This window comes from Homo sapiens, chromosome 4, assembly GCF_000001405.40.
Source record: "Homo sapiens chromosome 4, GRCh38.p14 Primary Assembly".
Lineage (NCBI taxonomy): Eukaryota > Metazoa > Chordata > Mammalia > Primates > Hominidae > Homo > Homo sapiens.
Genome location: NC_000004.12, coordinates 112,593,698 through 112,606,300, shown reverse-complemented (window position 1 = coordinate 112,606,300; position 12,603 = coordinate 112,593,698). Strand labels below are relative to the sequence as shown.

General features: G+C 39.2%; 1 protein-coding gene across 28 annotated transcripts in view; it reads left to right on the top strand.

The window, feature by feature from the left end:
• The window catches only part of ZGRF1 (zinc finger GRF-type containing 1), a 97,571-nt gene that overhangs the window by 30,609 nt on the left and 54,359 nt on the right, over nt 1–12,603 (top strand). For 13 of the 28 annotated variants that reach the window (XR_938764.2, XM_011532092.3, XM_011532091.3 and 10 more), the window contains 2 exons: nt 210–293; nt 2,604–2,777. The exons of 4 other annotated variants lie outside the window; for them this stretch is intronic. Coding sequence is in view for 21 of the 24 variants with exons in the window: in XM_011532092.3 (XP_011530394.1) it covers nt 210–293; nt 2,604–2,777 (258 nt within the window). In the remaining 3 variants the exon portion in view is untranslated. Of the gene's footprint in view, nt 1–209; nt 294–2,603; nt 2,778–12,603 lie in introns of those variants that run through there. 11 more of the 28 variants (XM_047415914.1, XM_017008370.2, NM_001350397.2 and 8 more) reach the window with 2 other exon arrangements.

Sequence of the window (12,603 nt, the reverse complement as noted above, 5' to 3'; positions counted from 1 at the left end):
AATTAATTAGCATAGTGACTTACCTGCTAAAGTACCCCTTTGCCAGGGAGAGCTAGCTTGTATGTGTGTGTAGACAGAAGCAAGATAGAGATGGCAAGTGTGTTTTCACAGGGCAAACTTAAGTTTTGCAATTATTTTTCCATCAAAATCATGAATCACCTGTGAAACTATTCTAGCTAACTAGATAACTTATTCATATTTTATCCTAGTTCTCTTCCTCGGGAAGTAAAGAAGAGACTGCTTTTCAAGCTGTTATTCCTAAACAAATAGAGAGAAAAACCTGTGACCCTAAGGTAAAATTTGTGAAGAACATCGATTTATTTAACCAACTACATTTTCTTTTCTGTTTAAAACAAAAAAACAAAAAAACAAGTATCAGAGTTTTCACAGGCAGAAGGTTAGTAGCATAATAAATAAGTCTGGTTTTAAGAACAAGAAAAACTATTTAATGACTCCTGCCCCCCTTTTTGGTCTTAAACTTTCTCTATACTACTAATGAGCTAATAATAACAGTGTTTACATTATCCTTCCGTACATAGGATACTCTAGGGGTTGGACACAAAGCCATGTAGAGTAAAATTAATGAATACTCTGTGGGGAACAAAATGAGTATCTTTATACCCTTTAACTTATTATAGTCTATTCTGCCACTTATACTTCTGAGTATATAGAAGTATACGTAACCAACATCTAAGTAGTGCTACCTATTCTATATCAAAAATTAACAAAGACAACAGCATAAAAATGGATGGGTTTTGTAAATAGCAGTTCTACTCCTAAAACCCAACACACCTCTGGAAGAGATCTACATGGCAGCATAGAAGGCAAGGTACCTATTTTGGCCAGGCATGGTGACTCATGCCTGTAATCCCAGTACTTTGGGAGGCCAAGGCGGGTGGATCACTTGAGGCCAGGAGTTCGAGACCAGCCTGGTCAACATGGCAAAACCCCGTTTCTACTAAAAATACAAAAACTAGCTGGGTGTGGTGGTACACACCTGTAGTCCCAGCTACTCTGGAGGCTGAGGCATGAGAATCACTTGAACCTGGGAGGTGGAGGTTGCAGCGAGCCAACATTGTGCCACTGCACTCCAGCCTGGGTGACAGAACGAAACTCTGTCTCAAAAAAAAAAAAGTGGGGGAGGTAATGTACCTGTTTCCTTGTGGGGAGTATACATTACCCATCAGACAAAGCAGAAGCAGAAATATACAGAATCTTTAACAGTTGAGACTCATTTTTATTGCAATGTTTATTTTTAAATTCAGAAGAATATTTTCCACCAAAGTCCTATTAAAGGGGCATTTAAATTAGATTTTTCTTTCAAATGTGTGATTTACAGTTCTTCATTTTTGAATAAGAGTATATTCAAATTATATATTACTGTCATTTTGTTAGTTAAAAATGAATTAATCCTTTACCTACATTCCTTTGACTCTGTTACAGTCTTATTTTTCCACATTTTGGGTAAGCTTTACTTTGTATGGAGTAAAAAATCCTAGAACCCTCCAGGGGGCAGCAGAGAAAGCCATTTGAAGCCTGAAAACAGACTGAGTGAAAGAGCCTGTCTAAGGAACATGTCTACATTGGAATCACACTCTTAGGCTTTTGCTCTCAGAGCAGTAGGATATCACATCTTTCTACTGAGAGGCAGAGAGTCCACCACCCATCCTGCAGTTGAGCCTGATATTTTACAAAACCCCTAAGTAAAGAGAAATGCTGTTTGCATTCTTTCTCATTGTTCCCTTTCTGTTACTGGCTGTTTATTTATTGCTTCCTGTATACCAAGTACTGTGTGGTACCTAGATGAAGCAAAACATCTCTGCTCACAAGGGGCTTACAGTACAATTAGTACAGAAATAAGGAAAAACTTCATTGAAGTATGAAGTTGTGAGTCTATAATATATAGTATTGTATGTAATGCATAGTTGTATAATATATAGTGGAAGCATTGAGAAGCAACTAAATATTTCTGGTTTAATTAGCTATTATTATTATACTCATCTTTATGCTTGTAATAAAATTATACTTATTCATTTGTTTCCCCCTCATTGGCTATAAATCATACTTTTTTTTTTTTGAGATGGAATCTCTCTATGTCACCCAGGCTGGAGTGCAGTGGCGTGATCTCAGCTCACTGCAACCTCCAACTCCTTGGTTCAAGCAATTCTCCGGCCTCAGCCTCCCGAGTAGCTGAGATTACAGGCGTGCACCACCACGCCTGGCTAATTTTTTATATTTTTAGTAGAGATGGGGTTTCACCATGTTGGTCAGGCTGATCTTGAACTCCTGACCTCAAGTGATCCACCCACCTTGGCCTCCCAAAGTGCAGGAATTACAGATGTGAGCCACCATGCCCAGCCTAAATCATACTTTTTAATGTTGAACTTAAATGTAGTTAAATCGATGCACTTTGAATTTGTTACCCATAACGTATGTTTTAGGATAATAGGAGAATTTCCCGGTTTTCAGCATTAGTTCCTGGTATTTACAATAGTTCCTGTAATAAAAAGCTGAATTATGTATTGTATTCTGTGTGTTTACTTTGTGAATATATATGTCAACATATAGTTATGCAGTTCTTATTTTTAATAATTTACCTGTAGCCTGTTGAGTTTCAAGGACATCAAGTAAAAGGATCAGCTACTAGTGGTGTAATGGTCAGAGGACACAGCTCACAGCTAGGATGCAGTCAGTTTCCAGATAGCACTGAGTATGAAAACTTTATGACAGAGACACCAGAGTTACCTAGCACGTGTATGCAGATTGACTTCTTGCAGGTAAAAATATTTTTATAGTTGCATTTTGCCAAATCATTTTCTTTATGTTAATACTACATTTTGTGAAAATAGTATAGTTGTTTATACAGTTATAAGTTAAAAAGGAGTACAGTAAATTGACAAGAAGCATAATATCTCAAAACTAAATAACAAAAGTATTTTACTTGAAAGATGTATTACTTTTTTAACATTGGGAGTTTAACAGATTACTTTTCACTTCAGAGAAGACTATAAATTCATGACAAAAGCAAACAGGTACATTACACAAAGAAAATACTCACCTGTTTAACATCTAATAGATTTTTTTTCTTCTGATATTTCCCTTCTCTCTTTAAATATGACACTGAGTACCTCTAGTTGCTACCAAAGGCAGATTTCTGGGGATGAAAATAGAGGTCATGAGGTTAGAATGATAAGCATGTATTTGAAACAGTGTTCATCAAAGAGATTTTTTTTTAAATTTCCCTTTTTGTCAAAGCATAATACATATGAGAAGAAATAAAGAAAAAAAAGCATAATACATATATGAAATAAGTAAATCATCACAAAGCATACTCATATAACCTCCACCTTTAACAAATAGAGCATTCTCAGCATCTCAGAAGCTCTCCTTCTGCCCCTTTTCAATCACTACCCTTTTCACTTTTCCCTAAGATATCCACTGTCTTGACTTATAACCATCTATTAGTTTTGCTTTTAAAACTTTATATAAATAGAATCATACACAGTGTATTCTTTGTGTCTGCCCTCTTTTGTTTAATATTGCAATTCTGAAATTCATTTATGTTGTTGCCTGTGGCTATAATTTATTCATTTTAATTGCTGGTGTAGTATTCTGTTGCATAAATATATCCCAATTTATCCATTCTTCAGATGTTTGTGTTATTTGTGTTAAGGGACTATTACAGATACTGCTGCTGTGAACATTCAAGTACCATCATGAACATGTACATATACACACATGCGTGACATACTTATGTTGGTTATATTACCTAGGAGTAGCATCATTGAGTCACTGGATAGGATATATTTACTTTTAGTACATAATGCAAAACTGATTTCCAAAGTGGTTTTTATAATTTACATTTCCATTAGGAGTGTATGAGAGTGCCCATCACTCTACATCTTTACCAACACTTGATGCTGTTTTTGGTTTTCAGTTTTAGCTATTCTGGTGGGTATATATTGGTACTTCAGTTGTAGTTTTAATTTGCATTTTCCTGCCTGATAGTGAGGTTGGGACCTTTTTTGTATGCCTATTGGCCATCTCTTTATCCTCTTTGATGTAGTGCCTGTTCAGCTTTCTTCCTTTTTTTTTTTGAGACAGAGTTTTGCTCTTGTTGCCCAGACTGGAGTGCAATGGCGTGATCTTGGCTCACTGCAACCTCTGCCTCCTGGGTTCAAGCGATTCTCCTGCCTCAGCCTCCCAAGTAGCTGGGATTACAGGCATGTGCCACTGAGCCCAGCTAATTTGTATTTTTAGTAGAGATGGGGTTTCTCCATGTTGGTCAGGCTGGTCTCGAACTCCTGACCTCAGGTGATCTGCCGGCCTCGTCCTCCCAAAGTGCTGGGATTACAGGCGTGAGCCACCATGCCTGGCCTCTTCCTCATTTTTTAATTGACGTGCTTATCTTTTAAAAAATTTTCTGGAATTCTTTATATAATTTGGATACCTACTCATTGTCAGTTGTATGCTTTGCAAATATCTTTCCTGACCCTTACTTACCTTTTCACTCTTAATGGTATCTTTGATGAATCAAAAATTTTTCTTTTTTTGTTGTTTTTTGAGACAGAGTCTTAACTCTGTCACCCAGGCTGGAGTGCAGTGCATGAACATGGCTCACTGCAGCCTCAACTTCTTGGACTCAAGCAATCCTCCTGCCTCAGACTCTCGAGTAGCTGGGACTACATGTGCCCACCACTATGCCCAGCTAATTTTTTTTTTTTTTTTAGACAAGGTCTTGCTCTGTCACCCAGTCTGGAGTGCAGTGGCGTGATCTCAGCTCACTGAAACCTCTGCCTCCTGGGTTCTAGCAATTCTCCTGCCTCAGCCTCCCGAGTAGCTGGGATTACAGACATGCGCCACCATGCCTGGCTAATTTCTTGTATTTTTAGTATGGTTGCATATACATTTAGAACTAGCTTAACAATTTGCTATGTTGGCCAGGTTGTTCTCAAACTCCTAGCCTCAAGTGATCTGCCTGCCTCGGCCTCCCAAAGTGCTGGGATTACAGGCATGAGCCACTACTCCCGGCTGCCCAGCTAATTTTTAAAATTTTTTTGAGATGTTGTTTCACCAGGTTGCTGCTGGTTTTGAACTCCTGGGCTCAAACGATCTTCCTGCCTCAGCCCCCCAAAGTGTTGGGATTATAGGTGTGAACCACCACGCCTGGCCTAGTTTATCATTTTTTTTTTTTTTTTGAGATGGAGTCTTGCTCTGTTGCCCAGGCTGGAGTGCAGTGGCGTGATTTTGCCTCACTGCAACCTCTGCTGTTGGGGTGATCAGACCCAACACCAGGTTGTAGGGGTGATGAAGTCTGGCAGAGTCAAAGGATTGAGAAAAAGACAGTATGAGAAGTAAAACTGGGACCAGGTGGCCATCGCGATCATGGAGGCTGCGAAGGCCCCGATCTCTGGGAGCCCACACTGTTTATTGGTAATCCAACAGAGAAACAGGTGGTGAGAATGTGGAGGTCAAAAGGGCAGGCACATGATCTACAGCTGTGACAGTTTAGCATTTATAAGGAACGTGTTCTGCTACTTGAGATAATGGGAATAGGAGCCTAGGAGGGCTAGAAGCAAGGAGCCAGCAAGTCTACACACATTCCAGAGGACATTATGTCAGTCATGCAAGCCCTACCTCAGTTTCCCTCCCAACACTCAGCTTGTTCCCAACACTCCGCCTCCTGGGTTCAAGTGATTCTCCTGCGTCAGCCTCCCAAGTAGCTGGGATTACAGGTGCCCACCACCACGCCAGCTAATTTTTGTATTTCTAGTAGAGACGGGGTTTCACCATGTTGGCCAGGCAGGACTCGAACTCCTGACCTCGTGATCCGCTTGCTTCGGCCTCCCAAAGTACTGGGATTACAGGAGTGATCCACCACACCTGGCCCTAGTTTATCATTTTTAATGTAATTTATTTGCTGTTTCCTTTACGATTAGCGCTTTTGTATCTTAAGAAATCTTTCTCTGGATGACAAGGTCACTCACACCTGTAATCCCAGCACTTCAGGAGCCTGAAGCAGGAGGATCACTTAAGGCAAGGAATTCAAGACCAGCCTGGGCAACATAGTGAGACTCGGTCCCTACAAAAAAAATTTAAAAATTAGGTAGGTGTCATGTTGCGTGCCTCTAGTCCCAGCTACCCAGCAGGCTGAGGTAGGAGGATTGCTTGAGCCTGGGAGATTGAGGCTGCCTTGAGCCATGATCATGCCACCACACTGGGTGACAGAGTGAGATCCTGTATCAAAGAAAAAAAAACATTACCTCAAGATCATGAAGATATTCTCTCATATTATCTTGTACAAGCTTTATTAATTTACATTTCACATTTTGATCTACAGTTTACCTGTAATTGATTTTTATGTATTGAGTACATTTTATGTAAAGTTACATGTTTTCTCCATATGAATATTCAGTTGACCCAGCACCATTTATTGAAAAAGCTATCTTTTCTTCATTCCTTTGCCATGAATCAAGGGTCCATATATTAAGGGTCTCTTATTAGTTTCTCTTCTGATTTATTGGTCTGCAATTTCAGAAGTCACAAAGCATGTGTTTTCTTTCTTTCTTCCTTTTTTTTTAAACAGAATCTCACTGTGTCACCCAGGCTGAAGTGCAGTGGCATTATACAGGCTCATTGCAGCTTCAAACTCCTGGGCTCAAGTGATCCTCCCTCCACAGCCTCCCAAGTAGCTGAGACTGTAGGCACACACCACCATGCCTGGCTAATTTTTTTTTTTTTTTTTTAGACACAGGGTCTTGCTATATTGCCAGGCTGGTCTCAAACTCCTGACTCAAGCAGTCCTCTCACCTTGGTCTTCCAAAGTGCTGGGACTGTAGGCGTGAGCCACAGTGGCTGGCCTATGTACTTCCTATGTATCTTTAAATCTTCCCACCTCATTCTTCTCATTTTTTTACATTTGCATATATGTTTAGAACTAGCTTAATGGTTTTCACACATACAAGCTGGGAATTTGGATGAAATTCCATTGTGCATGTCAATTTTGGGCAGAATTAACATTTTTATAATATGTTATTGATAAATTTTCAATATTATAAAAATATTTCCCTCTATTTCAATCTGCTGCAATATCTTCCAGTAATGTTTTACAGTTTTGGTATAGAGGTTCTCTATATATTATTTGTATATTTGATTTGTAGGAGCTCTTCGCTCTTTACATACTAAGAAAATTAACCCTTTGTCATTTTTTTCCACTACATTAGTGCTTTGACTCTGATTTTTTTGTTTTTGAGAAGGAGCCTCACTCTGTTGCCCAAGCTGGAGTGCAGTGGCATGATATTGGCTCACTGCAACCTCTGTCTCCCAGGCTCAAGTGATTCCCCCACCTTAGCCTCCTGAGTAGCTGGGACTACAGGTACACACCACCAAACCTCGCTAATTTTTAAATTTTTTATAGAGATAGGGTTTTACCATGTTGCCCAGGCTGGTCTTGAACTCCTGGGCTCAACCGATACACCTGCCTTGACCCCCCAAAGTGTTGGGATTCTAGGCATCTGACACCGTGACTGGCCTGATTATGATTTTTCTAAAATTAAATGTTTTAATTTATGTAATAAGATTTGTCAGTGTTTTTTGTGATTTCTGGAGCTCAGAACTCTTTTTCACTTAATGTTTTTAATTAATAAAAACATTATTTTATTATTAATTAATAAAAGCACCTTGATGCTTTTAATAACTATTGTGATTTTGCACTGTCTTTAGCAAGAGCTAATGATTACAGTGGCTACAGTAAAATTAGTTGTTTCTGAATCCCTCCTTTATATTCTTCCAGGCACCTATAATATTAAGTTATATTATAACTTTAAGATAAATATATATTCAATGTTTTCGTTATTATAAATGTTTTAATATTTTCACTGCTGAGCCAATTGGTATACTATGATTACATTTTCTTCCCTTTATAACTTTGGGTTTTTCCGGTTTATAATTGTCTCTTTTTAAAATTTGCTTAGTGTTTTTTGAATACTGGGGCAAAGTTTTTCCATACCCTCAAAAAGCTGTATAAAATACTCCTTAATACAGGAATTCACACATACTTTTCATATAATCTGTGTCAGTTCCATTATTTTCCTATGGCATCTTTTCCAGGTTTTTCATCTGCCTGCTTCAGTATGCACTGTATAATTGACAACTTAAGAATGCCCATTGCTGCCTTCCTAGCATGAGTTGCTTACATCTTGAACACCATGTCTCCTTTCTTGTTATGCTGGAGTACATCTTTGAATACCTCCAAAGAAAGGGAGCAAGGGGAGATAAAATTTGGGAGACTTTGCATGTTGAAAATGGTTTTTTTTGCTTTCATACTTGATTGATAGTTTGACTTAGTGTAGAATTTGGATATGATCTGCTTTATTCTTTTTTTTTTTTTTTTCAGTGTGTGTGTGTGTGGGTACATTTTGAGACAGTCTGGCTCTGTCACCCAGGCCGGAGTGAAGTGGCACGATCTCGGCTCACTGCAACCTCTGTCTCCCAGGCTTAAGCGATTCTCCTGCCTCAGCCTCCCGAGTAGCTGGGGCCACAGGCACGCACCACCACGTCCAGCTAATTTTTTTTTGGTATTTTTAGTAGAGACAGGGTTTCTCCATCTTGGCCAGGCTGGTCTTGAACTCCTGACCTCAAATGATCCACTCACCTCAGCCTCCAAAAGTGCTGGGATTACAGGAGTGAACCACTGTGCCCACTTCTTTGTAATTTAAATTTAGCAGTGCCTTCTCTCTCTAGAATTATTATTACTATTACTATTATTATTATTATTAGAGACAAGGTCTCACTCTCTTCCTTAGGCTGGAGTGCAGTGGCACAATTATAACTCACTGTAGCCTCAAACTCCTGGGCCCAAGCCAACCTCCTGCCTCAGCCTCCTGGGTAGCTGGGATTACAGATGCACACCACCACACCTGGCTAATTTTTAAAAACTTTTTCTAGAGATGGGGTCTTCCTATGTTTTCTGGGTCTCAAACTCCTGCCCTCAAGTGTTCCTGCTGCCTCAGCCTCCCAAAGTGCTGGGATTATAGGTGTGAGCACAGTGCCTGACCCTCCCTCTAGAATTTTTTTTTTTTTTTTTTTTAGATGGAGTTTGGCTCTGTCACCCAGGCTGGAGTGCAGTGGTGTGATCTCGGCTCACTGCAACCTCCGCCTCTTGGGTTCAAGTGATTATTCTGCCTCAGCCTCCCAAGAAGCTGGGACTACAGGCGTGCACCACCACACCTGGCTAATTTTTGTATTTTTAATGGAGACAGGGTTTCACTATGTTGACCAGAATGGCCTCAAACTTCTGACCTTAAGTGATCCGCCTGTCTCAGCCTCCCAAAGTGCTAGGATTACAGGCATGAACTGCTGTGCCCGGCACAGAAACTTTTAATGACTTTAAAAAAATTCCTGGCCATGCACAGTGGCCTCCCAAAGTGCTAGATAATCCCAGCACTTGGGGAGGTCGAGGTGGGCAGATCACCTGAGCTCAGGAGTTCGAGACCATCCTGGGCAACGGGGCAAAACCCTGTCTCTACACAAAATTAAAAATTAGCCAGGCGTGGTGGCATGTGCCTGTAATCCCAGCTACTTGGGAGGCTAAGGCAGGAGAATCCCTTGAGCCTGGGAGGTAGAGGTTGCAATGAGCTGAGATTGTGCCAGTGCCCTCCAGCTTGGGCAACAGAGTGAGACCCAGTTTCCAACAACAAAAAAAAAAATCCTGATATTCTGAAATTTCGCTGTCATGTGCTTTCCTTCAGGTTTCATTAATACACTGTACTCAGTGGGTCTTTTCATCCTGTAAATACAAATCTACTTGTCTTATGAAACTTTTTAAAAAATATATTTCTTTGTTGCTTTTCCCCCCAGTGTTTTCTAGATTTTCTTTCTCGAATCTTCTATCAAATATTTTAGTCCATTGTATCCTACTTTCAGCAACACCTGTGGCCTTCAGTTTCTGAGCCCTTCCATGGTTATTGGGGCAAATCAGTTTACTTCTTATTGGGCTTTCCTTTACTAGGTGCTTTGGTTAGATTTTCTTGATATTGCCAAGTCTATACTATTCCCCATCTTCTTAATATTGTATTGTAATTCAGGATTGCCATTGCTTCTTAGTTTCATCAAAGATGGAGTTTCTGTTTCTCATCCTCTGTATATTTTGAGAGGAGAACAAAATTTAGAGGTATTCCATATTGAAAAAGAAACTTATGTCCATTATTTTTATTTCTAGTTATTGTTATCTACATCAGTTATGATTATATGCTTTATATTCTGAGTTTACAAAAATGTTCTAAAACAAAATGATTAGATCTACAAACAGATAAGTGCTTTTTTGAATAAGCGTGACATTGCTTGCATGTAGCAATCTCTGGACTTACAAGAAATTCTGTATTTTTATCAAATTCTGAGATACTACTACTGTAAAAAGCACCAGTTTGTTATACAGCACTAAGAAAGAAGAGTAGTCATTTAGACATTACACAATGTTTTTTATCCTAGACTTTAAAAACATTATAAAATATTTATTGTGGTGAAAACCATATATCATAAAATTTACTATTTCAACCAGTTCAGTAGTGTTAAGTATACTTACGTTGTTTTGAAATGGATCTCCAGAATTTTTTAATCTTCACTTAGACTTCTAATGTTATATTTATTGAAAGAATGCTTTTAAGCTTATTTGGGCATACATATATTTTGATATATATATAAATACACACACACACACACATATATACACACAAACATATATATTTATGTTTTGTAGAGACTGGCTCTCACTATGTTGCCCAGGCTGGTCTCCTATCCTCAAGCGATCCTTTTGCCTTCGCCTTCCAAAGTGCAGGGTTTATAGACGTGAGCCACTATGCTGTGTTGGGCACAGTTTTTAATTGTATATTACACTGCTTTGTTCTCTTGCCTTTCTTTGAACATAATAATTTTTTGTTCAGGGCTAAATCATAGTATAATCTTTTGAAGACATTTAAACAGCAAAATTACTTAGAACGTGTTTGATATTAGCAATGCACAGACCAATTCATATTTAAGTGATTATTAAGATGAACAGCATGACTAATTTGCATACATTTGCACATGTACAGGCAATGACAACTATGTCACAACTGTTGCCTGTGCTATAGAGATGTAAAAATGTCATCACTTTTAAAGTGTTTCCCTATTTCAAAGACATTAAAATGTAAAAAAATGTGAGTCATAAGAATTTTATATTTTTAGTAGAGATGGGGTTTCACCATGTTGGCCAGGCTGGTCTCAAACTCCTGACCTCAGGTGATCTGCCTGCCTCAGCCTCCCAAAGTGCTAGGGATTACAGGCGTGAGCCACCGCACCTGGCCTGTGGAGTAATTTTTGTTAAAATCTAACAAAACATAGATGACTGCTTTCTTTGTCATTTAAAGATGTTTTGATCTTTGAAATATGACAGGAAACGAAACATGCATAATTATAAAGGAAGAAATAGAATTAAAATAACCAATTAAAACTTGAAAGTTTAGAAGGGATTTTAGAAAGGACCTGAAGACAAGATAAACTTGAAAAATTAGGCCAGGCGTGGTGGCTCACACCTGTAATCCCAGCACTTTGGGGGGCTGAGGTGGGCAGATCATTTGAGGTCAGGAGTTCGAGACCAGCCAGGCCAACATGGTAAAACCCCATCTCTACCAAAAATACAAAAATTAGCTGGGCGTGGTGGCATGTGCCTGTAATCCCAGCTACTTGGGAGACTGAGGCAGGAGAATCGCTTGAACCTGGGAGGTGGAGGTTGCTGTGAGCTAAGATCATGCCACTGCACTCTAGCCTGGGTGACAGAGCGAGTGTCTGTCTCAAAGAAAAAAAAAAAAAACCAAACCGAAAACAAAAAACTTAAAAAATTAATAGCTTTCCTAACCAATTAGAAAATATAGTAGAAAAAGAGTCCCAACAGTAGTAACAAATGATATTTGTTAGAAATGTGCAGGACATGTGTAAAACAGACTATGAAATTTACTGTTGAATATAAAATTTGTGAATAAATAAGAATTCAAAAGTACCTATTGAATACCTTCTGTGGGTCAGAAGACTTGTAAGACTTGGGTATAGATTGATGGACAAACCAGATATGACCTTAAAGGTCAGCAGGGGGAGGGAGATGTTAATCAGGAGAATAAACAAACAAACAAATAAATTGAGATAATTGCTATGTAGGAAATCTGTGAAAGTACTCTCAAATTATAAGGGAATCTACTTTAGAATGGGTGATTAGGCTGGGGACGGTGGCTCACACCTGTAATCTTAGCACTAAGGGAGGCCAAAGCGGGAGGATTGCTTGAGCCCAGGAGTTCAAGTGAGAACAGCCTGGGCAACAGGGAATCCCCATCTCTAAAAATTAGCCAGGTGTGGTGTCACACAACTGTAGTGCCAGCTACTCAGGAGGCGGGGGTGGGACGATCAATTGATCCTGGGAGGTTAAGGCTGTAGTGAGCTGTGAGCATTCCAGCCTGAGCAACAGAGCAAGACCTGTCTTAAAATAAATAGATAAATAAATAATAAAATGGGTGATAAAGGAGGGCTTCTCCAGCATTGGCAACAGTGAGGGACTGAACATACCATGCAAAGAAA